This window comes from Homo sapiens, chromosome 11, assembly GCF_000001405.40.
Source record: "Homo sapiens chromosome 11, GRCh38.p14 Primary Assembly".
Lineage (NCBI taxonomy): Eukaryota > Metazoa > Chordata > Mammalia > Primates > Hominidae > Homo > Homo sapiens.
Genome location: NC_000011.10, coordinates 100729463 through 100755335, shown reverse-complemented (window position 1 = coordinate 100755335; position 25873 = coordinate 100729463). Strand labels below are relative to the sequence as shown.

The following is a 25873-nucleotide window of genomic DNA, read 5'->3' as shown; positions in this document are numbered from 1 at the left end:
TTGTGTAGTGCAGGGACCCAGCCCATTGTGATTCAAGGTCAATGACTTTTATGATAAATAAAGTTTGGGAACCAGTTGCTACGAGGTCTGTGGTGGGGATGGGGCAGGAGCAAGCATTGTCTTCAGCCTCCACATATGTGCGTGCATGCACATGTGTGCACACACACTCTTACACCCTAGCATTTATCACTAACCCGTAGCATATTTAACTCACTAATCTGCCACCCACACCCCCTGCCATTAGAATCTAAATTCTATGAAAGCATAAATGTCAGCCTATTTTGTTCACTGTTCAACAAACAGATTTGGGCCTAGTATTTAAAGGCACTTAGCTAGTTTTCCATAAACAGATGAATGAGACCAAAAGCATCCAGAGTAAAGTCCTCCAATAGTGGTCTTCTTAAGATATGTATATCCTATAGTGGAATAAAGCTGGATAAGCACAGCACTTTTTTATTATTACTTTCATGTGAAAACAAATACAAATAAATTACAGAATAAAGTAAAAAATATACTTTAATGAAATTTTGGCTCGTCATTAACAGAATAAAGCTACGTAGTGATTACTCTTATTGGGCAAGAGGGGTAGGAGTTTAGAATGGGGTATGGGTTGCCTCTGTTCTCCCTTGAGGAGTGATTTTAAAGGAATGTGTAGAAAGCATTATACTGGAACTAAAGCATCACAAACAAAAACAGCATTCTTTTTAAAAATACATCTATAAAGAAATTAATGTTTTCTACTTATACATTTCAATATTAAACAATGTTCCTTAAAGCTAACCTGAATCATGTAATCAAAGACTAAAATTAAGTTTTCCCAGAAGTTTATTTTCTACAAGTATGGAATAGAACTCAGCAAGGAGAAAGAAGATAATTAGGAGTGGCCTGAACGCAAGGTTCCTTAAAGTACCAGTTGGTTTCTGAGAATCATAAAGTAAGCACCTGACATAAAAGATCTTCATTTCCCTACTAAATATTTCAAGTATGTCTGATTTCTAGGTCATTGCTCAGGGCCTTAATTCCAAATTGAGAAAGATTTCTTTAATGTTCCTCCACAATCTAGCAGTGTTCATGTTTACAATGAATGGTAAAAACTGTATTCATCCATACAGATAAAACCACTATAGTTAAGGGGAATCTTACCAATTCGGTGAGAAAGATTTTTTTTTAACATCTCCCATATTAACCAGTCTAAATTTAATTTAAACCCATTTTATCATGTAGTTATAAGTAGCACTAATGGGAATTAAAGTTAAAGATTTACAATTTAAATAATCTTCTGGGGCCATGTGGCCAAAATAGCAGATTAGAGGCAGCCTCTGCCACTTGGAAAGACAAAATATTGAGTTGAAATTCACACTGTTCACTTTTTTCCATGGAGCAATGCAGGAACTTAACAGGAAAATGGGAAGAAACCAAAGACTCTTTGAAAGAAGCTGCAGGCTGCAGCCTACACTGAGAGCCAGGTGGAAAAACTGTAAGTCTCCAGAGTGTGAGAGAGGAAGAGACTGCCTCCAGGATACACATTACCACCGGGAAAGCTGGCAATCCAGCCTACAGAGGGAGGCCTTAATCCTATCCAGTGTGGGAACTGATATAGCAAGCGGTGGGGCATGTAAAAGTAGGAACAGCAGCAAGAAGAGCCTTGCACGCACTTCCAGTCTCCAGCACAGGCGGAGGGAAACCATTCCTGATTCTAACTGACAGGGGACCTCACAGAAATCTGCCAACTAACTCAGGCAGTGGCAGCAGGTTGAAAGAAGCTCTCAAATGAAATTCATAATATAATCTCAAGTGGGGACAAACTCCCTTGGCCAGAACCAGGGGTTGAGTGGGAAGCACTTTCCTTGAAATTGCTCCAGCCACAGGCACAGGAGATGGGCACCCCAGCTTTGTGGGCAGATGAGGAGTGGCATTGCCTGAAAGCCAGTTCCTGTCTCCAAGGAAAAGAATGACGGCCTGGGGCAGTATTGAGCAAAGACGGCCTGGAATTCAGCTAGCTGCTGCTAGTGAACACTGCAGGTGAGAGACCTGCCTTATCAAGTGCATGGGAGCTGGGTGAGGCTTCCTGCTGCCTGTTACTCCCCACTCCCTGAGCGAACTCTTCTGTGCAGCAGAAGCTACACTCCTTCCTGGAACATCACCCCAGCGGCCAGAGAACCAGTCCCCTCACCCCCACAGGGGCCTCTGCTTGCCCTGTACACAGAGAACCAGAGCAAGGGCCTGCCTGACCCAGCTCCCACCTGGCTTTGCCCCTCAACCTGCCCTGGTAACTTAACACAAGGGACAGAACTTCTGGGAGCCCTACGGCCCCAATCATCATCTGGAAACCAGAGTACATCCCCTGGGTAACATAAAGCAAGCACAAATCCCATCACTATTGTGGCAGCTGGCATTCTCTTGCGAGCATCACCTTCTGGCTGGAAGCCAACCAACACAGACCATTACAGCATCCACAGGTACAATAACACTGCACCCAGGAAGGAGAAAACTTGTGCATGAGCTATCACTATAGCCTGCACCACCCTGGCTAACCAGAAGGTCCTAAGTCTGTCCACAGGACAAGTTCATTACTATTACAACCAGAATTTGAGAAAGCCAACAAACTAAGACTACTTATAACCAAGAAATCTCAGAGTGTATGTCACGCCCCCATCAGAATGGGTGCTGGCTGGTACCCACTGCTGAGAGGGTTGAGGACAGGTTACATCACTGGATTCCTTGCAGACATTACCCAGCACCAGCCTGAATTACGGCAGACTCACTGGGTGGCTAGACCAAGAGGAACAACAGTAGTCACAGTAGTCTGGCTCTCAGGGACTCCTACCCCTAGGGAAGAGGGAGTGCCCCACATTAAGGGAACAGCCAGTAGTACAAAAGAATCCAGATGGCAAGCCTTGAGTCCCAGATCTTACCACTGGTGAGAAGTTTCAGCAGTGGCACAGTTGCAGCGCTGGGCTCAGCTAGGATAGTCTGCAACAATACCCCAACAGGCAGGCAGCCCTGGTGCTCATGAAGGGCCTTGGAAAAGGGAACTTCTTTTACCCCTCATCCATGACTGTGAAATAACTGGGGCTTCTCTCACTGGAGCTTGGTGTGGGTGCACCTATAGATAACCTTTCTGGATCACTGCAGGTTGACTACATCCCCAGAGGTGGAGCACCCTCCAGGTTCAGGCTTGCACGAGAGGCACAGTCACAATTCCTCTCTGGTTGGAACATCAACATTTCTGCAGATGAAAAAAAGGTACCTGTTGGGCTGGGTGCAGTGGCTCCTGCCTGTAATCCCAGCACTTTGGGAGGCCAAGGTGGGTGGATCATCTGAGGCCAGGAGTTCCAGACCAGCCTGGCCAACCTGGTGAAACCCCATCTCTATTAAAAATACCAAAATTAGCTGGGCATGGTGGCAGGCACCTGTAATCCCAGCTACTCGGGAGGGTGAGGCAGGAGAATTGCTTGAACCTGGGAGGCAGAGGTTGCAGTGAGCCAAGATCGCACCATTGCACTCCAGCCTGGGCGACAAAGGGAGATTCCGTCAAAAAAAAAAAAAAAAAAAAAAAAAAGGTGCCTGTCTGATCTGAATAACCAGAACACTGGGATAGGAGTGTGTCTGTGAGGTGGATCACTTCCCTGCTGGCCTGGTAGGAGAGCTGAGGTGGCTCCCCCTTGCCTGTGTTAAGACCTCAGTGTGTTTCAGTGAGGGCTTTCCCAGCTGCTACCTCTGTCAAGGCTGGGACCTCCATCCACCACTGGGTATTGCATTTACCCATCTACTTTATCTACAACAGGTTTCTACCCAGGAACACCTCTCCTGCTGGTCTGAAGACTGAACTAATCAACCCAGCAAATAAAATACTGCAGAAAAAAAAAAATAAAAAAGTATAAATTAGCTGGGTATGGTAGTGCATGCCTGTAAGTCTCAGCTACTCAGAAGGCTGGCGCAGGAGAATCGCTTGAACCCAGGAGGTGGAGGCTGCACAGTGAGCTGAGATTGTGCCACTGCATTCCAGCCTGGAAACAGAGCAAGGCTCCCTTTCAAAAAAAAAAAAAAAAAAAACACACACACACACTATATATATAACACACATACACATACATCAGCCAGGCACATGGCTAACACCTATAATCCCAGCTCTTTGGGAGGCGAAGGCAGGAGAATCACCTGAGGTCAGGAGTTCAAGACTAGCCTGGCCAACATGGTAAAACCCCATCTCTACTAAAAATACAAAAATTAGCCAGGCGTGGTGGCAGGCCCCTGTAATCCCAGCTACTTAGGAGGCTGAGGCAGGAGAATCACTTGAAACTGGGAGGTAGAAGTTGCAGTGAGCCAAGATCATGCCATTGCACTCCAGCCTGGGTGACAAGAGCAAAACTCCATCTCAAAAAAAAAAAAAAAAAAAGTATACATCAAGGAAGAATGAAGAAAGCTTCAAGAGACCTCTGCAGTTCAAGACCTGTAGGAGGTGGTTGTTAGATTTGAGTTCTAAATTTCTCTTCAAAGAATCAATATGTCAGTATGTTCAGTACTTTGCCTTCTACTTTTAAACTTAACTTCCTTATAAAGCAACCATATTCGATAACCTGCTCCACCCTGACTCATTCCGACTACCTGCTCCGCCCTGACTCATTCTCCACCCTGACTCATTCCGATTTCCTGCTCTGCCATAACCATTTTTCCCGCCAAACCACTCACCCCATCACTCTCTTTAAATTAGCCAATCGTAATTAGTTTAGCCTGTGCGGTCTAACCCTAGCCAATAGGGGAAGGACACAGCAGCAGGGGCCACGTGCATCAGGAATAAGAACCCCTTCCCCTCCCTTGTCCAGGTGCTCCACCCTGACTCATTCTGACTATCTGCTCTGCCCTGACTCATTCTCCACCTGACTCATTCCGATTTCCTGCTCTGCCATAACCATTTTTACCGCCAAACCACTCACCCCGTCACTCTCTTTAAATTAGCCAATCGTAATTAGTTTAGCCTGTGTGGTCTAACCCTAGCCAATAGGGGAAAGACACAGCAGCAGGGGCCACGTGCATCAGGAATAAGAACCCCTTCCCCTCCCTTGTCCAGGTATGCACTCACCATTGCTCCATCTGTAAGGGCACACCCTTCTATAGAAGTACGTTGCCTTGCAGAGAATTAAAAATAAAATTTTATATTCCAGTGCTATTTCTGTTGCAGCACCAAAACTTTATTTATAACAATTTGGGGGCTCATCCAGGATTACATTCCCCTCTGGGGGGCAGTCTCTGGTTTTCTCTCATGAGAAGGGGCATCCCACCCCCTTGTGGCAGCCTCAGGGGTGAGAAATCAGGAGAAATAAGGAGAAATCAGGACCCAGTGTGAGGAATAACCTGAGCTCTCAGCAACGCGGAAAGAAACTGGCCAGCAACCTAGCTTAAAGGATCCTCACATACTATGGCGACAACTCTGTGCACAGACCAAATAAGGAGAAGCTGCGGGAGCCGGTAAAGTACCTCCTTGGTGGTCAAATTCTAGAGGGCTAAATGTGTGTGGGGGTGAATGATCACAAACGACCCTACTTGCAGTGTTGTTCCAGTGGATGGTGATAAGTCCTACTGCTGGACGGAGCGAGTGGGTCCTCTCTGTGGTTCTGTAGCTACCTCATATGGCTTAAGGCAGATCCTGCGGTGGAAGTTATATCGGTACGCCTATCGGAAACACTAAAAGGGGCCTAATTCTCCCTTGGGGGAGCAGCCAGAGAGGACAACACGAGTGGGAAGTGTGCAAGGGACCTTCAGAGGGGGAAAGGGAGGAAACAGGTCAACCTTCCAGGGCAGGCAAGGCGAGACATCCCTGGTTTGAGGGGTTGAGCCTTCCGGGGCAGGCCAGGCGAGACATGCCTGGTTTGAGGGGTTAGCCTTCCGGGACAGGCCAGGTGAGACATCCCTGGTTTGAGGGTTTAGTCTTCCGGGACAGGCCAGGTGAGACATCCCTGGTTTGAGGGGTTGAGGCTTCTGGGACAGGCAAGGCGAGACATCCCTGGTTTGAGGGGTTGAGGCTTCTGGGGCAGGCAAGGCAAGACATCCCTTGTTTGAGAGGTTGAGCCTTCCAGGACAGGCAAGGCAAGATACCCCTGGTTTGAGGGGTTGAGCCTTCCACAAATTTCAGGGGGTTGAACCTCACATAAGCCTTCGGTAGTAAGAAAAGTATTCAGAACTCCCCTTTCCTTTCTTCTCTGGGGAAGAAAGAGTAGCTCCACTCCCACCGGTCCCTCCCCTAGGGAAGGGGAAGGAGAGGGGAGAACAGCAGCATAAGCCGCTGGGAGAGGCAGAGAAAGAGACAGAGAGTCAAAGAGAAAGAGGGAGAAAGAGAGAGGCAGAGAGAGAGAAAGAGACAGAGAGACAAAGAGGGAGTCAGAGAGAAAGAGACAGAGTCAGAGAGAGAGAAAGAGAGAGAGAGCAGTAGTAAAAACAGTGTACCCTATTCTTTTAAAAGCCAGGGTAAATTTAAAACCTATAATTAATAATTGAAGGTCTTCTCCGTGACCCTGTAACACTCCAATACCACCTTGCTGTCACTGTAAACAAGGGCGTAGCCCAAAAGCACTGAGGCCACTGACAACCCGTAGCCTTCCTAATCAAAAATCCTTAACCCAGTAACCCATAGATGGCCCAAATGCATTCAATCTATTAGCAGCAACTGCTTTGCTAACAGAAGAAAGTAGAAAAATAAATTTTAGAGGAAACCTCATTGTGAGCACACCTCATCAGGTCAGCACTATCCTAAGTCAAAAAAAACAAAAACAAAAAAGCAAAAAGATAGCTTACTGACTCAAGAACCTTAAAGTATAAGGCTATTCTGTTAGAAAAAGATGATTTAACATTAACCACTGAAAATTCCCTTACCCAGCAGGTTTCCTAACAGGGGATCTAAATCTTCATTACCATACAAAGGTCCAACCAGACCTACGAGGAACTCCCTTCAGGACAGTCGGGTGATTGAGGGAAAAAGACACAATGGGTATTCAGAGAGTGATATGGAAACTCTAGTAGAAGCTCTGTTAGGAAAATTGCCTAATAATTGGCCTGCTCAAACCTGCGAGCTGTTTGCACTCAGCTAAGCCTTAAAGTACTTATAGAATCAGGAAGGAGCCATCTGTACCAATCCTAAATTAATATGGACTGAACGAGGTCTTATTAATAGCAAAGAATAATTGAAATCCCAAACTTACAAGGTTTTCAACAAAAGTAAAGTTTGCTAAAAGTTAACAGTGTAACATGTATTATCCTAACTTCTAATCCTGTGGCCTTAGACAGTTTAGTACACAGACATGACAGAAGTTTGCTTTGGAAAAGAATGGTTATCATCTTTGAGAAAAAAAAAGGGGGGTGGGGGGTAGAATTTATGTAAAAAGGAATGTTATATGGTAAATTCTTGTCCTAAAATAAATTAAATGGTTGTTTAGAGAAAGGGATGTTTGCAACAAGTCAGAAAGTTGAGGTATGCTGAAGAATTCTCTGTGAAAGTCGTGAAAAAAAAGTTATAAAAGGGAATTTATGCAAGAAATGTTGTATAATTTAAAAGTAATTAGGCCTCCTGAATGTAAAACTATTGAAGAAACAGTTTATGTGCAAGGTGTGTAAGGAAAGTAAAATACACTTTTGGTAAACGGGATTATAAGGAGGAAAAAGAATGTGGATTTTTACCTACATTAAAAGGTTAAAAAAAATTTTTGTTTTAAAGGTTTAAGCAAGTTTTGAAACATAATTATAAAGGTGATTCTGTGTGTAAACACATTGGGTAAAGTTAAAGGGGTATCATCCAGTTTTTCTGTGAATTGGACATTAAAATAAAAGCACAACAGGATTTTCTTAAAGCACTAATCCGCTCTTTAACAAAAATTATAAAAGGTTAAAAAGCGTCTATAAAAATCTTACCTTATGGTCAGACATTAAAAATTGGATAAATATGTCTACAAGGTTTTATTAAAATTAACACACTAATATAAAGGTGAAATTTAGCTTATCTGGTATAAAAATCATACAGGAAGCACTGTTAAATATAAAATGGTGTTTGGCTTTCTTTGGTCTAAAAACTAATAAAGATAGGTGCTAAAGAAAATTTCTCAACAAGAAGGCACCAAGGACTATAAAGTCCACTCTTGATGTCCCCACATTTAAAACAAAGGATCAATTTCTTAGAAATTATATACTTAGTTTATCCTCCACCTTCTCCTCCCTTAAAACAAGAGGTCTTTTAGCACAGGCACCACCTTTGGAGTTTCCAATACATCAGCATGGCCCTGGGGATCCCATTCTCATCAAAGGGTAGAAAGAAGGGAAACTCAAGCCAGCCTGGGAAGGACCCTACCTTGTGCTGCTAACCACTGAGACTGCTACTAGTATGGCGGAAAGGGATGGACACATCACACCCAAGTCAAGCAAGCACCATTACCCTCAGAATCATGGGCCATTTTTCCTGGATCGATCCCTACCAAATTAGAGCTAAGGAAAGCTTAGTCTACCTCTCTTTTCCTTTCCTTTCCTTACCCAGTGCTTATATCCATTACTATTCCTACCACTAGCAACTCTAACACCACTTTAGAGCGCTTCTATGGTTTAGGAGCAGAGGTCACTGGAAAGGATCCTATAGGTTTCTTTAAGGTGCACTTTGTTCTGCCTCCTCCACCTCCTACGGCTGCCCCCTTCCCAAACCTATGAAATCAAACTATGACTCACCTCATGCCAAATGACAACAGCAAGTTCTCAGTAGTAGAAATAGGAGACCTAAGGCAAACCACAGCCATTGAAACAGGGTGTAAAGATGTAAATGCTTGGTTAAAATGGATTAATATTCCGTCCACACGTTAAACAAAGGCAATTGTTATGCTTGTGTGCACGGTGGGCCGGAGGCCCAGATTGTCCCCTTTCCACTAGGGTGGTCCTCCAGTCAACTGGGCGTGGGCTGCATGGTAGCTCTTTTCCAGGATTCTACAGCCTGGGGTAACAAATCGTGCCAATGTCTCTCTCTGCTATATCCCAAAGTTCCACACCCTGCAGGTCAGACCCCGAGGGCCATCCAGCTTCCATTTCCCAACACTAAGCTCACTTCATGTCTCCCATGACAAGAAGGAAACTTAGCGTTCCTTGGAGACCTGAAGGGATGCAATGAGCTTAAGAATTTGCAAGAGCTTATCAATCAGTCAGCCCTTATTCATCCCTGAGCAGATGTGTAATGGTATTATGGTGGACCTTTACTGGACACTGTGCCAAGTAACTGAAGTGGCACTTATGCTTTAGTCCAACTGGCTATCCCTTTCACCCTGGCATTTAATCAACCAGAGAAAGGAAAAATAAGACATCATAAAGCAAAAGAAGCCCCTTATGGGTCTTTCCATTCCCACATCTACTTAGACACAATTAGAGTCCCATGGGGAATACCATATCAATTTAAAGCCCGAAATCAAATAGCTGAAGGATTTGAGTCAATATTTTGGTGGGTGACAATTAATAAAATGTAAATTGGATAAACTACATCTATTACAACCAAAAGCGATCTATTAACTACACTAGAGATGCTATTAAAGGAATAGCTGAGCAATTAGGGGCCACTAGCCAGATGGCTTGGGAAAAATAGGATAGCCTTAGACACGATATTAGCAGAAAAAGAAGGAGTTTGTGTCATAATTAAAACTCAATGTTGTACCTTCATCCCAAACAACACTGCCCCTGATGGAAGTATAACAAAGGCATTTCAAGGTCTGACTGCTCTCTGTCCAATGAGTTAGCCAACAACTCAGGGGTAAATGACCCCTTTACAGGATGGCTAGAAAAGTGGTTCAGTAAATGGAAAAGAATAACAGCCTCAATTCTTACTTCCCTCACAGCCGTAATAGGTGTACTTATTCTTGTCAGGTGCTGTGCCACACCATGCACGTGTGGGTTGCTGCAGAGGCTCATAAAAACGGCACTTACTAAAACCTCCCTTAACTATCCTCCACTTTATCCAGTGAAGCTTCTTCTTTTGGGAAATCAAGCAGAACAACTAAGCCAAGACATGTTAAAGAAGTTTGAAGAGAAAGAGCTGTAAGGAAATGCAAGAGGAGGGATTGTTAGATATGAGTTCTAAATTTCTCTTCAAAGAATCAATATGTGAGTATGTTCAATTCTTTGCCTTCTACTTTTAAACTTAACTTCCTCGTAAAGCAACCTTTTTCAATTACCTTCTCCACCCTGACTTATTCCCATTACCTGCTCCACCCTGACTCATTCTCCACCCTGACTCATTCCGATTTCTTGCTCTGCCATAACCATTTATTCCACCAAACCACTCATCCCATCACTCTCTTTAAATTAGCCAATCGTAATTAGTTTAGCCTGTGCAGTCTAACCTTAGCCAATAGGGGAACGACACAGCAGCGGGGGCCACGTGCGCCAGGAATAAGAACTCCCCTGTCCCTTGTCCAGGTGTGAGCTCACCACTGCTCCATCTGTAAGGGCGCATCCCAAGTACATTGCCTTGCAGAGAATTAAAAAGAAAATTTTATATTCAAGTGCTATTTCTTTTGCGGCACCGAAACTTTATTTATAACAATGGTGAACTTGCTCACACACTGAGCACATTGCTACTACAACCAGTATCTGAGAAAGCCATCATACAAAGACTCTCTATAACCAAGAAACTCATACAGAGTCTTCACTGCTGAAAGCACCAAAAGCAAGAGCCAAATTAGGCTACAATAAACTGTAAACATTAAAGTAACATCCTTAAGGAGCAAAAAAGAAACTAAACACACACACAAGCACGCACACACACACACACACACACACACAGAGTAAAATATAAAACAAATTCAAGAATAATTAGAAGTAATACTCTACCCAAATGAGAAGGAACCAGAAAAATAACTGGTAATATGACAAAACAGGGTTCTATAATGATCACACTAGATTTCCAGCAATGGATCCAGAACAACACAAAATCTTTAAAATACCAGATAAAGAATTCAAAAGGTTGATTACTAAGCTACTCAAGGAGATATCAGAGAAAGGTAAGAACCAACATGAAGAAATCAGAAATTCAGGATATAAATAAAGAATTTTCACTGGGCATGGTGGCTCACGCCTGTAATCCCATCACTTTGGGAGGCTGAGGCGGGTGGATCACGAGGTCAGGAGTTCGAGACCAGACTGGCCAACATGGTGAAACCCTGTCTCTACTAAAAATAGAAAAATTAGCCGGGCGTGGAGGCAGGCGCCTGTAGTCCCAGCTACTTGGGAGGCTGAGGCAGGAGAATCACTTGAACATGGGAAGAAGAGGTTGCAGTAAGCCAAGATCATGCCATTGCACTCCAGCCTGGGCAGCAGAGCGAGACTCCAACTCAACAAATAAATAATTTTCTCAAGAGATAGCTATTTCAGATACTTGAAAGAAAAACCAATCAGAACTTCTGGAAATGAAAGACACATTTGGGAAATTACAAAATGCAATAAGAAGTTTTAACAACAGACTAGAACAAGTAGATGAAAGAATTTCATCTTCTCCTGAAAGAGCTCGAAGAGAAGACTTTCAAATTAACCCACTCAAATAAAAATTTAAAAGAATCAAAAGAAATGAACAAAGCATTCAAGAAATATGAGATTATGAAAAATGGCCAAACCTAAGAAAAACTGGTGTTCCTGAGGGAGAAGAGAAAGCAAAACGTTTGGAAAATTTATTTAAAGGAATAATTGAGGAAAACTTCCCTAGCCTTGTCTGAGATCTAGGCATCCAAATCCAAGAAACTCATAGAACTCATGGGTGATTCATCACAAAAAGGACTTCACCAAGGCATATAGTCATTGGGCTACATATAAAGTCAATGTGAAGGAAAGCATTCTGAGAGTGGTGAGATAAAAGCACCCGGTAACCTATAAAGAAAAACCTATCAGACTAAAAGCAAGCTTCTCACTAGAAATCTTAAAAACCAGAAGATTGGGGTCCTATCTTTAGCCTCCTTAAACAGAATAACTGTCACCAAGAATTTTGTATCCTGAAAAACTAATTTTCATAAATGAAGGAGAAATAAAGTAATTTTCAGACAAACAAATGTGGGGAGAATTTGTCATTACCAGCCCAGCCATACAAGAAATGCTAAAAGGAGTTCTAAATCCTGAAACAAAAGGTCAATATGCACCAGAATAGAACCTCTTGAAAGCATAAAACTCACAGGGCCTATAAAACAGTAACACAATGAAGAAAACAAAGTAAGTAACACTTAACATGATAATTGGAAAGCACCTCCAAGTCCCAATATTTATATTGAATATAAATGGCCTAAATGCTCCACTTAAAAGATATAGATTAGCAGAATGAATATAAATCACACACCAAAAATATCTGCTGTCTTCAAGAGACTCACCTAACATGTAAGGATTCATATAAATCCAAGGTAAAGGGATGGAAAAAGACATTCCACACAAATGAAAACAGAAAGTGAGCAGGAGTAGCTATTCTTATATCAAATAAAACAGACTTTAAAGGAACAACAGTAGAAAAAGACAAAGGTAGTCATAATATAATGATAAAAGGATCAATACAACACAGAGATATTACAATCCAATTTATATGCACCTAACACTGGACCTCCCAGATTCGTAAAATATTTACTACTAGTCCCAGTTCTGCTGGCATTAATGTACTATGTGACCTTATATGACAACTTACTAGATGATGACTTCCTGGACCTAAGGAGATCAGAATACAGATGATATCTATGGACCTTTGAAAAGGGCTGTCATCAGCAGAATGCCTGGCACGTAGCAAGAGTTCAGTAATTTAACTGAGAACGCTTTATAATTAATAAGATCTGTTACTTCAAATTATAAAACACTGTAATTCCACAGGAACCTCAAAGCACTTCAAATATATGACCACCACCACCCAGAGGTCACATATCTGAACCTTGAAAAGTAGAAACCTCAGAACTTCACACACACTACTCCTGCACTGTGTTCCTCAAGGAAAATCAATTAGTCACTGAATAAGACAGACGTTAAGACCACTTCAACCCCAGCATCATCTCCCTATTTCAAACTTTCCAAGGAAATGAAGGAAGACACTGATGCCAGTTTGACAATCAGTTAACATTACAACACAAGGGTATGTATAAATTACACACAAAAATAAGACCCCCTCTCTCATCCAGGAGTTAGCCTGGTGAGGAATTAACAGATTACTTTCAGCAATAGGATCAGAATGATGGCAGTATTTGATCCACAGTGAGCAAAAAGCAGAAGGAGATGTTTTGAAACATGAGTAGAAACTAGTTTGGGGAAACGGAAGGGGAGAAGACTATTTAGATCAGCTGCCTTTGGCTTTTTATTGCCCAAAGAGATCACTAAGGTTTCCTCTAGGTTTTTTTTATTGAAAAAGCCGAAAAACTAAATTTGGAGTCTCAGGTTAAAGCAGACAACCTTATGGATTTCCCTCTAAACCTGGGCATGCCAGAACTGCACATTGCAGTCCCTAGTACAATGCAAAGTACTGCTTGCTTTAAACATTAGTTAAGGGCAAAATAACAATTTTCAGATTAAAATAAATACTTCTCAAACTAAGTTATTTGATTTCACCAAAATTCATTTCTGCTTTCACAATGGGACACTGTGGGGCAGAAGTCTCCCACACAGAGAAATCTGCTTTATAGGCAGTATCTAAGTAACGCATGTCCTCTACCTGGCACTTTGCTTTAGGCTTAAAGCAGTCAGCTGGTATGCCAATAATTTAGATCCTTAGTAACTACAGTAACTATACAGGGTGAGGAAGCTAGGTCTTCAGGGTTCTTCAATCTGGACTAGAGGCTGCAGAGGCAAGGCAGGGAATGTGCAAGGGTCGGTAACACAGCAGACAGGTACTAACAGGAAACAGCCCACAAATGAGTTTCCTTTTTCTCACCCTCTCTCTATTCACACACACTTTACCGTCATGCCTTTACAGACTGAGATGTGTCTTGTGGCTTCAGGAGGCATCACATTTCACTAACTATAAGAATAAGATTTCTTCGGCCAGGGGCGGTGGCTCACGCCTGTAATCCCAGCACTTTGGGAAGCCGAGGTGGGTGGATCACTTGAGGTCAGGAGTTTGAGACCAGCCTCGCCGATATGGTGAAACCCCGTCTGTACTAAAAATACAAAAATTAGCCAGGCGTGGTGGCAGGTGCCTGTAATCCCCACTACTCAGGAGGCTGAGGCAGGAGAATCGCTTGAACCCAGGAGATGGAGGCTGAAGTGAGCTGAGATCTTGCCACTGCACTCCAGCCTTGGAGACAGCGTGAGATTTCATCTCAAAAAAAGAAATAAATAAATAAAATTTCTTATTTTCTCTCTTTATGTAATCTGCAAAGGAGCCTTACAGTCAGTCAAATAAATCTGTCTGCTTTCCCCCTCAAGCCCATGGGACTAGAATAAGGCCACATGTCCCCTCTCCAGGAATAACTAATTAAAGTATAACCACAGATACCCTCTTTATTCTTCTCTTGATAGACATATTTTTTTTAAATAATCCAGTAAGTAACGTTCCAAAGCTTCATCAACCCTGTGCCAAACTTTAACAGTGGTTGAATCTTCCCTGGAGCAGCAAAATCTGACACTCAACAACAGGAGAGGCAGAAGGAGCAGCTGCCAGGAGCAATGTACCTACCCCATCGCTTTATCTTGCAACTGCTGGCACCATCCCCTTCACTTTCAGGAACCATTCTACATCAAACTCTGCTTTCCAAGAACTTTTCCTCTACACATTCCATTCTCCTCCCCCTATACCATAAAGCTTCTGGCTAATGTTCATGGCATGAATGATACTGCCTTCAAATGGCAAAGAATAGCACTTTAGTATCAGACAGACAGGTTCAAATCTTAGTTCCATGACTGACTAGCTTTTGTTCCTGGAGCAAATTAGTTAACCTGTTTTGCACTCTCAATTTTCTACATATAAAAGAACGCTAGTGCTCACTTCACAGTTTTTAGAAGATGGGAGAAATAAATTCAGTGCCCAAGTGTTTACTCAGCAAATACGTTTTTCTTCCCTTGTGCACCAAAGGAAAAAAAACTGAGGGTATCATATAAAATTTGGGAGAAGGGAGAGGCCATAGCATGACCAGGTCTTTTTTAAAAGTTTTATGTTCATAATAAAAGTCATGAAACAAGAGAATCTAAAGGTCTTAGCATTTTAGACTTCACTGTCAACAGGAAAACTTCCAGAAATCATACAAAAAGGATGAACATACACAGGCAAGCTTTAGTGAGTTGAAAATTAAAAAAAAAAAAAAAAATTGTACTAATAACCCTTTAACTTGCAGGCTGACACCAAGTAACTTTCTTTAAAAAATAATATTTCAACACGCAAAAAACAAATCACACACAAAATTTTTTCACAGATAGTCACCGTTCTAGGTAAAAGCCTTTGCCACTAGTATTTTTAAAAGCTGCAGCTGGACTGTGGGTCAGATGGCACTCAGCAGTTGTGTGTGTTGGGGGTGGGGTATGTCAGGAATGAATGCGGTTATCAAGGCATTTCTAAGTAAGGAACCCTTGGAACAACATTAGACTGAGGGTCATGGGAAAAGAAGTTATGCTCACCCTACTTCCTGGCAGCATTTTCAGTACACAAGCCATAAGCAACTCATGTTTACAAAAGGAACAAGAAAAGAGGGGCTTATTAGATGCAGAGGGGAGGGAGAAACAAAGTATAGATACACAGAATTATACCTTCGTACATTACATTTTAAAATTCTTTCTTTAAAAACTCTAGAAATAGTTTTAAAGATTTAGCACACTTCACTATGCAAAATATTTCATCCTGACTGCTTCAGTAAATCAAATTAGAGTATTTTTATCTAAGTTAATCACATAAATGAAACTCAATTAAGGAAAAGAAAACAAGCATGGTATATCTACTTTATCCTCTTTAGAACAAATTGCAATCTGAAGTTATTTTTGAGAGTCATAGAAAAAATGTTTCTCAGGATTTCAAAGTTTCAAATCAAGAGTTCTTCAGGTTAAAACAAGATTGTTTAAGAACCAAGTGAATGGTCCTGAACTTTAACTAAAAAAAAAAAATCCAAGAGTATTTTAATTACCAAAAGTCAATAGTTCCTTATTTTTTGATCACTTTGGTAAAACTCAGACAAAAGATAACCAGTTAATGAATCTCAAAACTGCTTCATTTAAAACAAAAACAAAAACAAAAAAAAAGACTCTAAGATAACTTGAACAGAAGAAAAAAGCCACTGTCAAATCTACATATTTCTGTTGTGCATTTCCTTGAGTTAATCCTAGAATTCTGGAAAATTATAAGCACTTTTCAAAAAGATCTCAAACTAGGTCTGGGCTTAACAAACAGCTTTTTTCCTAAGTTCTGAAATACATGCTTTCTTTATAAGCATGGATTTACCAATAGGAGTGGCCTCCTGATTGCTTCTGTGCTTGAATGCTATTAAATTAAACAGTCAGACAAAATATGGAGCATTGACCTTGGCAAGGAATGCAACGGGCACAGTTTGTTTTGCCCTGCTTCTTCTTAAAAAGAAAACAAAATATTCAAACTTGAAACGTAATAATAAACAGATTTCTACATGTTCACTTTATTTGTATTATAATAAAACACTTTGACTTCTTAACTACCTTTAGTAGTCAGCAGCAATAGTACTTCTCTAGCAACATAGTTTTTTACTTTATTTAGAGGAATAAATTGTTTGCAAGTTTTACATATATTACCCTCACTGATGAAAATCATGATACCTCTCATTATTCAAAAACAGGTAAATGGCCAAGAGCAATACTGCTTTGATGGAATTGCAAAATGAGAAAAAATATACATCTGATGGAATTAGTGAGTTACCTCTCTTTTGTCTGTAATGTCAGATCCTTTAGATGATACTCTTTTAAATCTAAAACAAAGCTGGCACTTCTTTGTTAGACTGCGGTACTGTGAGGTTCCAAACAGACTGCAGCTCTGAAATATCAGCATCCAATTTCTCCTGGTTATTTCAATGAATTGCAGCCCTTTCCACATATGAACTCTCAATCCACATTTAAAAAATGACTTTCTCCCAGCTTCCCGCTTCCACGTTACTATATTAAAGATGAAGAGAGAAAACATATGTAAATAATTGCCTCTGAAGCATTGTAATAATTTTAACCAAGTCAGTATTTGACAGCTATAAATTAAAGGCTATCACAGTATTTCTACGATATTTTCTTGACTCACAGAAAAAAATCATTTCTTACACTGAATATTCTCCCAGCTCTCCCAGTTCCCATCAAAATATCTAAAAATATTTTGGGTACAGAAATAAAGTCTTCTTTTGACATTTAGCAACTGCCTACTATGTGCAAAACGTAAGGATTCTAATACAATTTCTTCCTCACTGTATAAAGACTTTGCAATCTTGATGAAAAAAAGAAATGACCACGTGCCTACTTTCTGAGGAAGAGGAATGAGAGGGGATTGATCATGAGCAATAGGCAAGCAACTAAAAACACTAATGTGAGATGTAGGCCCCTTTTAAGTCCTCTCCCAGCAGCTTATCAATATAAATCTGTTAGCATTTACTGCCAATAAGAAGCTGCAATAAAGTTCCTTTTTTCTGCTTTAAGTTTAACAGGGAGAGTTCATTCATTCAACAAATAAGTCAGCATCTATTCAAGGGCAATTGCTGGGCCTGACACAGGACCTTGTGGTAAGAGTAAGTGGTGAGCAAGGCCAAGATGAACCAAGACACCTCTATCTCATGGAGCAGGCCATCTGGAATACCTGCGAACGTTGAAAGGTGGGACACCAGTATGATCACCAATAGGAAAAGAAATGGAAACACATGAAAGTTTTAAAGGATAGCTAGAGTTAGAATTAATATGATACATGAACCTCATATAGTGATAATGATAGCCAAAAACAACAACAACAACAACGAAACATAAAAATCACTCACAGGATTCTACGCTAGCATTGTCTCATTCTACCTCCACGTCAACCCTACAAAACCTTCCAAAATAAGCATCTTCTTTGTAGCTGCAAATACTAATCCTAAGTGAGATTAAGGGACTTGCTTCATTTGTATTCATGTGGGAATGGAAGCAGAGATGCTTATATAACCATAAGGTTATTATCATTTATAACAAAATTAATAGTAATTCCTTAATACTATCAAAAGCTAGTTCACATTCACATTTCCCCAATTATTTTTAAATCTGTTTTCCACTTGTTCACAAATAAGAATCCTAACAATGTCTACTCATTATATTTCCTTATGTCTCTGAGATCCCTTAATCCCTTTTAACATAGAATAGTTATCTCTTCCTTTTTTCCTTCTTTTCACAGGCCACTGACTCATTAACTAAACTGGTTCCACTGTCCTATAGGATGCCCCAAATTCTAGATTTAGCATAGTGCTTGCTCAAAGTGTTGCTGACCTTGTTCTTCTATCCCTGGTGTTTCCTGGAGTCAGGAAGTTATATGTAAAGCCTTGATCAAAGGTAAGGAAAAATCCAGAATAATGTGCTTCTCCTGTCCTTTTTTTCTTTCTTAACAGAAGACACTATCGTTTATGTAAGCCAAACAAACATATTTTTAATTTAAAAAAAAGACAAACTGCTTAGCTTATTATAACAGTAACACGTCAAGATCCTTTCGGAGAAATTACTCTTTACCCTCCAGGTCTAAATCCTTTAAATCTGCTGCAAGTGGCAGATGCCTGTAGCACAAAAGGTGCTACCAGAGTATTGTTTGAAAATCCATTAAAAGAAAGAGAGAAAGACAGTGTTTGGGAAGGAAAAAAACACAGAGACACCCTGCAGGGATGTGACACTGTCTCTCCATTACATTCCAGTTCCCATTAATCACGTTTGATAAGATGGTGGTAGCAGTCCCATGATTTGTCCACCAGGCATTTTCTGTGTGCCCAGAGCCCCAAGATTTCTCAACCCAGGTTTATTCCAGGAAGGCAGCTCAGGGGGATTTCCACCAAGTTCTCTGTCTCACCAGAGCCATCCTCAAGTGATCATCGGGAAGCCCCCGGCATGCATCCATATAAAGAAAATCCTGAGGCTACTGTGGAAAACGGAGATGTAAAAGAATGAAAAAGCTCACAAAGCTTCACAAAATGATGAGAATTCTCTATCTCTATTCCTTGTTGCTCAAGCCCACTGAGGCTTCAGGTTTCAAAACAAACTAACTAAAACCACCTAAACAACCTTGGGCTAACCACATTATCATCTCCCATTGCCCTACTCTAGGTGTCCCCAGTAGAAACAGCTGGGCCATGATTTTTTTGAAAAATATATCTCAGCTCTGAAAACTATCCTTTCCTTTCTATTGCTTCCTTTTACTCTCTTGATTTCTGAACACAGTACATATGACTACATTACCTAGGTAAACAAAGATAGCCGCTCAAATAGGATATGAAACACTTAAAAAGTACAAGTCTGCTGGGCGCGGTAGCTCACGCCTGTAATCCCAACACTTTGGGAGGCTGAGGCGGGTGGATGGCCTGAGATCTGGAGTTCCAGACCAGCCTGGCCATAGTTTCAACAGTGAAATCCCATCTCTACTAAAAATGCAAAAAATTAGCTGGGCGTGGTGGCGGGCGCCTGTAATCCCAGCTACTAGGGAGTCTGAGGCAGGAGACTCGCTTGAACCCAGGAGGCTGAGGTTGCAGTGAGCCTAGATCACGCCATTGCACTCCAGCCTGGGCAACAAGAGCAAAACTCCATCTCAAAAAAAAAAAAAAAAAAAAAAAGTACAAGTAAAATATTGTCAAATCACCAACCTTTCCCCAGTTTTTTCATATTTCTTATTCCTTTTTAAAAAGCCCTGTAAAACTAGAAATCATGCAAAGAAAGAAGATGACTTAAAGTGATTTCCTATTCCTATTTCCTATTCTTTTTTAAAGCCCCTGTAAAACTAGAAATCATGTAAAGAAACAGAAAATGACTTAAAGTGACATTATTGGAGTCACTTTTGGCATTTCCTCTTCCATCACAAAGCAAGCCTCTTAAATAGTTCAGAAACATAAGGGGGATTCCACTCACAAAGAGAAACTAAACTAGGAAAGGAGGCAGAATTTATCTGATGGCATTGGCTCACTATTAAACTCCACATGCTTAAAATAAAAGCAATCATAAAAGAATATGTACTAGAGAAAACTGGAAAAAATCAGAGCAAGATGGGAAATGAGAAATGGTTTTGTCAAGTCCAACTCTTCACCACACAGTGAGGATATGGATCCTGAAGGGGTCTGGTGGGAACTTTCACATCCAGTTGGTAACTAAGCTGAGTAGACCCAGGCTCCTGCAAACCCCAAACACAGGGTTTTGTTGTTGTTGTTGTTGTTGTTGTTTTGTTGTTGTAGTTGTTTTCAGATTGTCCTTACTGTGCATTTCAGTTTCACTTCTGCATCTGTTATCAGTGTAAACCAACTACATCTGTATACTGACGAACTTAACACATTAAATGAAAGGTGTTCCATCTTTGGAATCATAGCACACATGTGTGTCCCACTCTCAGAAACCTGAAAAGATTAAAAAACTGACAGCTTCAGCTTGTTCTGCCACCACATCTGTTTCTGTGAGTTAAGTAGAGTATGAGAAGAAAGTCACATTGGTTCAACTGGGATTGTTCTTCCAACAGGTTGACATTTTGAAGCCACTAGGGACAAACCTTTTCACAATTAAAAAATTGTCTTAGCTATACATGAAAACTTTAAGAAAAATGCCAAAAATCCTGCAGAAGAGCTCTCCTTTAGCATAACAAGTGGACTCTGGTTGGGCGTGGTGTCTGACGCCCGTAATCCCAGCACTTTGGGAGGCCAAGTAGGGCGGATCACCTGAGGTCTGGAGTTCGAGACCAGCCTGACCAACATGGAGAAACCCCATCTCTACTAAAAATACGAAAAATTAGCTGGGCATGGTGGCGCATGCCTGTAATCCCAGCTACTCAGGAGGCTGAGGTAGAAGAATCGCTTGAACCCGGGAGGCAGAGGTTGTGGTGAGCCAAGATTGTGCCATTGCACTCAAGCCTGGGCAACAAGAGTAAAACTCTATTTAAAAAAATAAAAATTTTAAAAAAGGGGTGGATTTCACGGATAACAATCATAAAAGCTTTGCTTTGGGCCAGGCGCGGTGGCTCACGCTTGTAATCCCAGCACTTTGGGAGGCCGAGGTGGGCGGATCATGAGGTCAGGAGTTCGAGACTAGCCTGGCCAACACAGTGAAACCCCATCTCTACTAAAAATACAAAAATTAGCTGGGCATGCTGGTGGGTGCCTGTAATCCCAGCTACTCGGGAGGCTGAGGCAGGAGAATCGCTTGAACCCAGGTGGCAGTGGTTGCAGTGAGCCGAGATTGTGCCACTGCACTCCAGCCTGGGCGACAGAGCTAGACTCCATTTAAAAAAAAAAAAAAAAAAAAAAACAACTTTGCTTTGGAAGGAAGTTTCTTTACCAAAAGATTTTCTAGAAGCAACTGTATCTAATTTGTATAAATGGAGTGCTTTTTTTTTTTTTTTTTTTTTTTTTTCCAGACAGAATCTTGCTCTGTTGCCCAGGCTGGAGTGTAGTGGCACAGTCTCCACTCACTGCAACCTCTGCTTCCTGGGTTTAGGAAATTCTCATGCCTCAGCCTCCCAAGAGGCTGGGATCACAGGCATGTGCCACCACACTCAGCAAATTTTTCTATTTTTAGTAGAGATGGGGGTTTCACCATGTTGGCCAGGCTTGTCTCAAACTCCTGACCTCAGGTGATCTGCCCGCCTCGGCCGCCCAGAGTGCTGGGATTACAGGCATGAGCCACAGCATGCAGCCCTCTGGAGTGCATTTTAAATATACAAAGAGAGCTACATCTCTTAAGGAACTTTGTTCTACATCTAATTTATGGGATCTCACTAGCAATCAATTTATAATTCAAGTGTATATGTAGAATTAGTGTTTGCAAACCTTTCTCATTTCTTAGCCCTACTGTAGACACTCAAAAAATCTTTGTCATGTGAATAATTCCTTTAAGCTAACATTTATTAAGCACTTACTATGTGCTAAGCATTTTGCCAAGGGCCTTTAAGTAATCTTATATAATCCTCATGACAATCCCATGAGTTAGGTCTTTTTATCCCTATTTCATAGATAAGGAAACTAAGGTTTGGCTATATTGATTAACTTGTCATGAGTCAACCAGCTCATTGGAATCTGCACCTAGATTTGAATCTAGCAGCTGAACTACAGAATCAAAGTTCTTAACCACTGTTTTTATATTTGCTTTGCATAAAGTGAAAGTATGCTAAATCCCAGGCTTTACATGCCCAAGTGTTACACTGGATTTGTGGTGATTTACTTTGAAATATTAATTATGAGTAATATGAAGTGTGTTAACAAGTTAATCTGACTCAATATTTTGGAGCTGGCTAATTAACATGTGTCCTTATTAAATCAACATATTGATGTTGAATAATTAGTAGAATAATTAGTATAAAAAGTATCTCAAGATTTTAAGGCAGGCTGAGTAGCATAGAAAGAATCAGAGATAATTTTTCTATTGGTAAAATTGCTGCTTAAGGTTAAGTGTTTGATGGAAGAGGAGTAACAGCTACTAGCCCTTAAATGAATAAGACATAAGCCAGTCACTCACTATGCCATAGACACAGCTCTCTACATCTACAGCCTCTTGGCCTGTGTCCACCTCAGAGGGTCTAGCTGCCTAGGCTGAGCACAGGACCTATCAATCTTGTCCAGGACTTTCCTGTGTTGTGCTTTAGAATAAGGCTCCACCCGAGAAGTCAGTTGATATGCTTGAAGATCTAGAGAAGAAAATCTTCCAAGCCAGACATGAACGGCTGTTTGTACCTACTTGCAATCGAAGGCCCATATAAATATATGGCTAATTTTGGTCTGAGACGATGTACATTCTTGTTTAAGTTTGCAGCGGTAGAGACATATAGACTGTTTCCACAAGCTTCTGACTATCAAAAACTATTCAATCATCATCCATTCAAAACTTATTGAGCACTGTCCTAGCTACTGAGGATTCAGCAGCAAACAAAAGAGATAAAATCCCTGCCTTCATGGAGCTCACATTCTGGTTGAAAAAGACAGTTAAGGCCAGGCACGGCGGCTCACACCTGTAATCCCAGCACTTTGGGAGGCTGATGCGGGAGGATCACCTGAGGTCGGGAGTTCGAGACCAGCCTGACCAGCATGGAGAAACCCCATCTCTACTAAAAATACAAAATTAGCCGGGCATGTGGTGTATGCCTGTAATCCCAGCTACTTGGGAGGCTGAGGCAGGAGAATTTCTTGAACCCAGGAGACAGAGGTTGAGCTCAGTGAGCTGAGATCACGTCATTGCACTCCAGCCTGGGCAACAAGAGCGAAACTCCATCTCAAAAAAAAAAGAAAAAGAAAAAAAAAAGAGTTAAATATAGAATGTGTTAGAGAGTGATAAGTGCTATGTAGAAAAACATGGAAAAGGCAACAAGGAAACTGTTCAACTTTCTTTGAGATGGTGAGGGAAGGGCTCTGTGTGAAAGCTACTTTTGAACAAAGATCTGATGGAAATACAATAGTCATTAACTGGAAGCAGGGATTGCATAGCTGCTAATTGGGGTGGGCAGATGGTCACACTAAGATTCTCTTCTTATCAGTCATATATTTAGGGACTAAACAATAGCTTACCCAGTGCACTCAGCAGCTCAGATAACACTCAACCTTCCCTGCTCCCAGGGCCCCAGAGCGTCCCATTAAAGCAAGTCTTATCTATTTAAAGAACCCAATTCCCAGACACAGCCCTTTCTATTGACAATATCTGGGTAAGCAGCAAAATGAAAAGATCTGCCCACAGTTCTTTAGAACATTAGGATGAAGTTATTTACTGTGTTGACTTCAAACCTTTAAAAGAATATAATGATGGCCGGGCACAGTGGCTCACGCCTGTAATCCCTGCACTCTAGGAGTCTGAGGCGGATGGATCAAGAGATCGAGACCACCCTGGCCAACATGGTGAAACCCCGTCTCTACTAAAAATATAAAAATTAGCCGGGCATGGTGGCAGGTGCCTGTAGTCCCAGCTACTCGGGAGGCTGAGGCAGGAGAATCCCTTGAACCCGGGAGGCAGAGGTTGCAGTGAGCCAAGATGGCATCACTGCACTCCAGCCTGGCAACAGAGCAAGACTGCATCTCAAAAAAAAAAAGAAGAATATAATGATATAAATCTAAGTTATACTGTGAGGCACCAAAGCATCATTCCTTATTTTAAGGATTATTTTTCTAAAGTCATTTCATTGAAAGGTAAAAACAAAACAAAACTAAAAAAAACCTGAATGACTGCCATCATATAGCAAAAGCCAAAAGAAAAAAAAAGCAAAACCTTTGTCAACAATAGGCTGCATATAGGATAGTGGTCCCATTAAGATCATAATATTGTATTTTTACTGTACTCTTTCTATATTTAGATACACAAATTTTTACCATTGTGTTACAGCCATCTACCATATTCAGTACAATCATATGCTGTACAGGTTTGTAGCCTAGGAACAATGGGCTTTATCATATAGCCTAGGTGTGCAGTAAATTATACCAACTAGGTTTTTGTAAATACATTCTATGATGTTCACACAATGACAAAATCACCTAAGAACACATTTTTCAGAATATAATCTTGTCATTAAGCAATATATGACTTACTATTTAAGCAACCCACTTTAAGGAAAAAATGCAATTAAAATTTTGCAATTTCTTAGACATGGCTTGTATCAGCATTTGCATGAGGCTTAATCAAAGACATATGCCAATTCTGATAGCCCTTGCGAAAGAAGGAATTTAAGCTCTAACGTGCATATTCAGTGTTTCTTAAAATCTGATTGTGAGAAAGCAACATTGGCTTTTCAGCTGTAATTGAATTTCAGCCTAAAGAGGTCATTCTTGGTCAGAGGATTTCTCCATATTCACCCACACACCCAGAGCATTCATACATAAGGCTTAATAGCCATGCATACCTCTGCGGTCAAATACAAAACTGCTGATTTTCTCCTAAAGAGAATTCAGATGCTGATGCTTAGCAGAGAGTAGAAAGATAAAAAACCATGATGCAGTTTGAACTTTTCTTCCTGCTTTGTACTTGATTAAAAAAAAAAAATCATGATGTCCTTGAGGAAAATGAAGCTACACAATCCACAGTACATCAAACTTTCCTTAAATAGAAAACTACCACCTTGTGTATTTCGTCAAATTAGTCTTATTTGAAATTTAGGCCAGGCACAGTGGCTCATGCCTATAAATCCCAGCACTTTGGGAGGCCGAGGCAGGTGGATCACAAAGTCAGGAGTTTGACACCAGCCTGGCCAACATGATGAAACCTCGTCTCTACTAAAAATACAAAAATTAGCCAGGTGTGGTGGTGGGTGCCTGTAATCCCAGCAACTCGGGAGGCTGAGGCAGGAGAATCGCTTAAACTTAGGAGGCAGAGGTTGCAATGAGCCGAGATCACACCATTGCACTCCAACCTGGCAACAAGAGCAAAACTCTGTCTCAAAAAAAAAAAAAAAAAGAAAGAAATTTAGATTACAAATTTACAGAGCAGGGGAAACAGTGTTACATGATATTCATACTAGTCATCCGGAAAAGAGATTCTATTATATTCAGTAGACTCTGCTGTAGTATAACATGGATGCAAATAATACGTTTAGAAATGTTTTAAAAATTACTATTTTTTTAAAGTTAGCTTTAATTTATCTATGCAAATTAGGTACATGGACAGTTTGCCGCCTATCAGTGATTAATAAACTAACTAGCAAGTCTAGATGGTTATGACAAAGCATTGCAGAATATCTTCTTAGACTAGAAATATAAATTTCAATCTAATCTCAAGTCTAACTACATAAGCAATTGACATATGC

The 25873-nt window shown here is 41.0% G+C and overlaps 1 protein-coding gene across 4 annotated transcripts in view, besides 3 other annotated features; it reads right to left on the bottom strand.

Moving 5' to 3' along the window:
- Positions 1-25873, bottom strand: part of ARHGAP42 (Rho GTPase activating protein 42) — a 306654-nt gene that overhangs the window by 238606 nt on the left and 42175 nt on the right. The window contains exon 1 of one of the 4 annotated variants that reach the window (XM_011542615.3): positions 16838-20803. The exons of the other annotated variants lie outside the window; for them this stretch is intronic. The gene's annotated coding sequence lies outside the window, so the exon portion shown is untranslated. Of the gene's footprint in view, positions 1-16837; positions 20804-25873 lie in introns of those variants that run through there. 4 annotated transcript variants of the gene reach the window in all.
- Positions 4141-5340: an enhancer, noted in NCBI's record as "P300/CBP strongly-dependent group 1 enhancer chr11:100620727-100621926 (GRCh37/hg19 assembly coordinates)". NCBI's record gives its function as "activates an origin of replication core promoter dependent on BRD2, BRD4, P300/CBP, MED14 and CDK7 cofactors, with strong dependence on P300/CBP, by STARR-seq in HCT116 cells {active_cell/tissue: HCT116}" and the evidence as "EXISTENCE:reporter gene assay evidence [ECO:0000049][PMID:35650434]".
- Positions 6401-7267: an enhancer, noted in NCBI's record as "OCT4-NANOG-H3K27ac hESC enhancer chr11:100618800-100619666 (GRCh37/hg19 assembly coordinates)". NCBI's record gives its function as "activates a minimal SCP1, AML or CMV promoter by ChIP-STARR-seq in primed H9 embryonic stem cells {active_cell/tissue: H9 hESC(primed)}" and the evidence as "EXISTENCE:reporter gene assay evidence [ECO:0000049][PMID:30033119]".
- Positions 19962-20151: an enhancer, noted in NCBI's record as "active region_5429". NCBI's record gives its function as "activates an Ori minimal core promoter by ATAC-STARR-seq in GM12878 lymphoblastoid cells {active_cell/tissue: GM12878}" and the evidence as "EXISTENCE:reporter gene assay evidence [ECO:0000049][PMID:35858748]".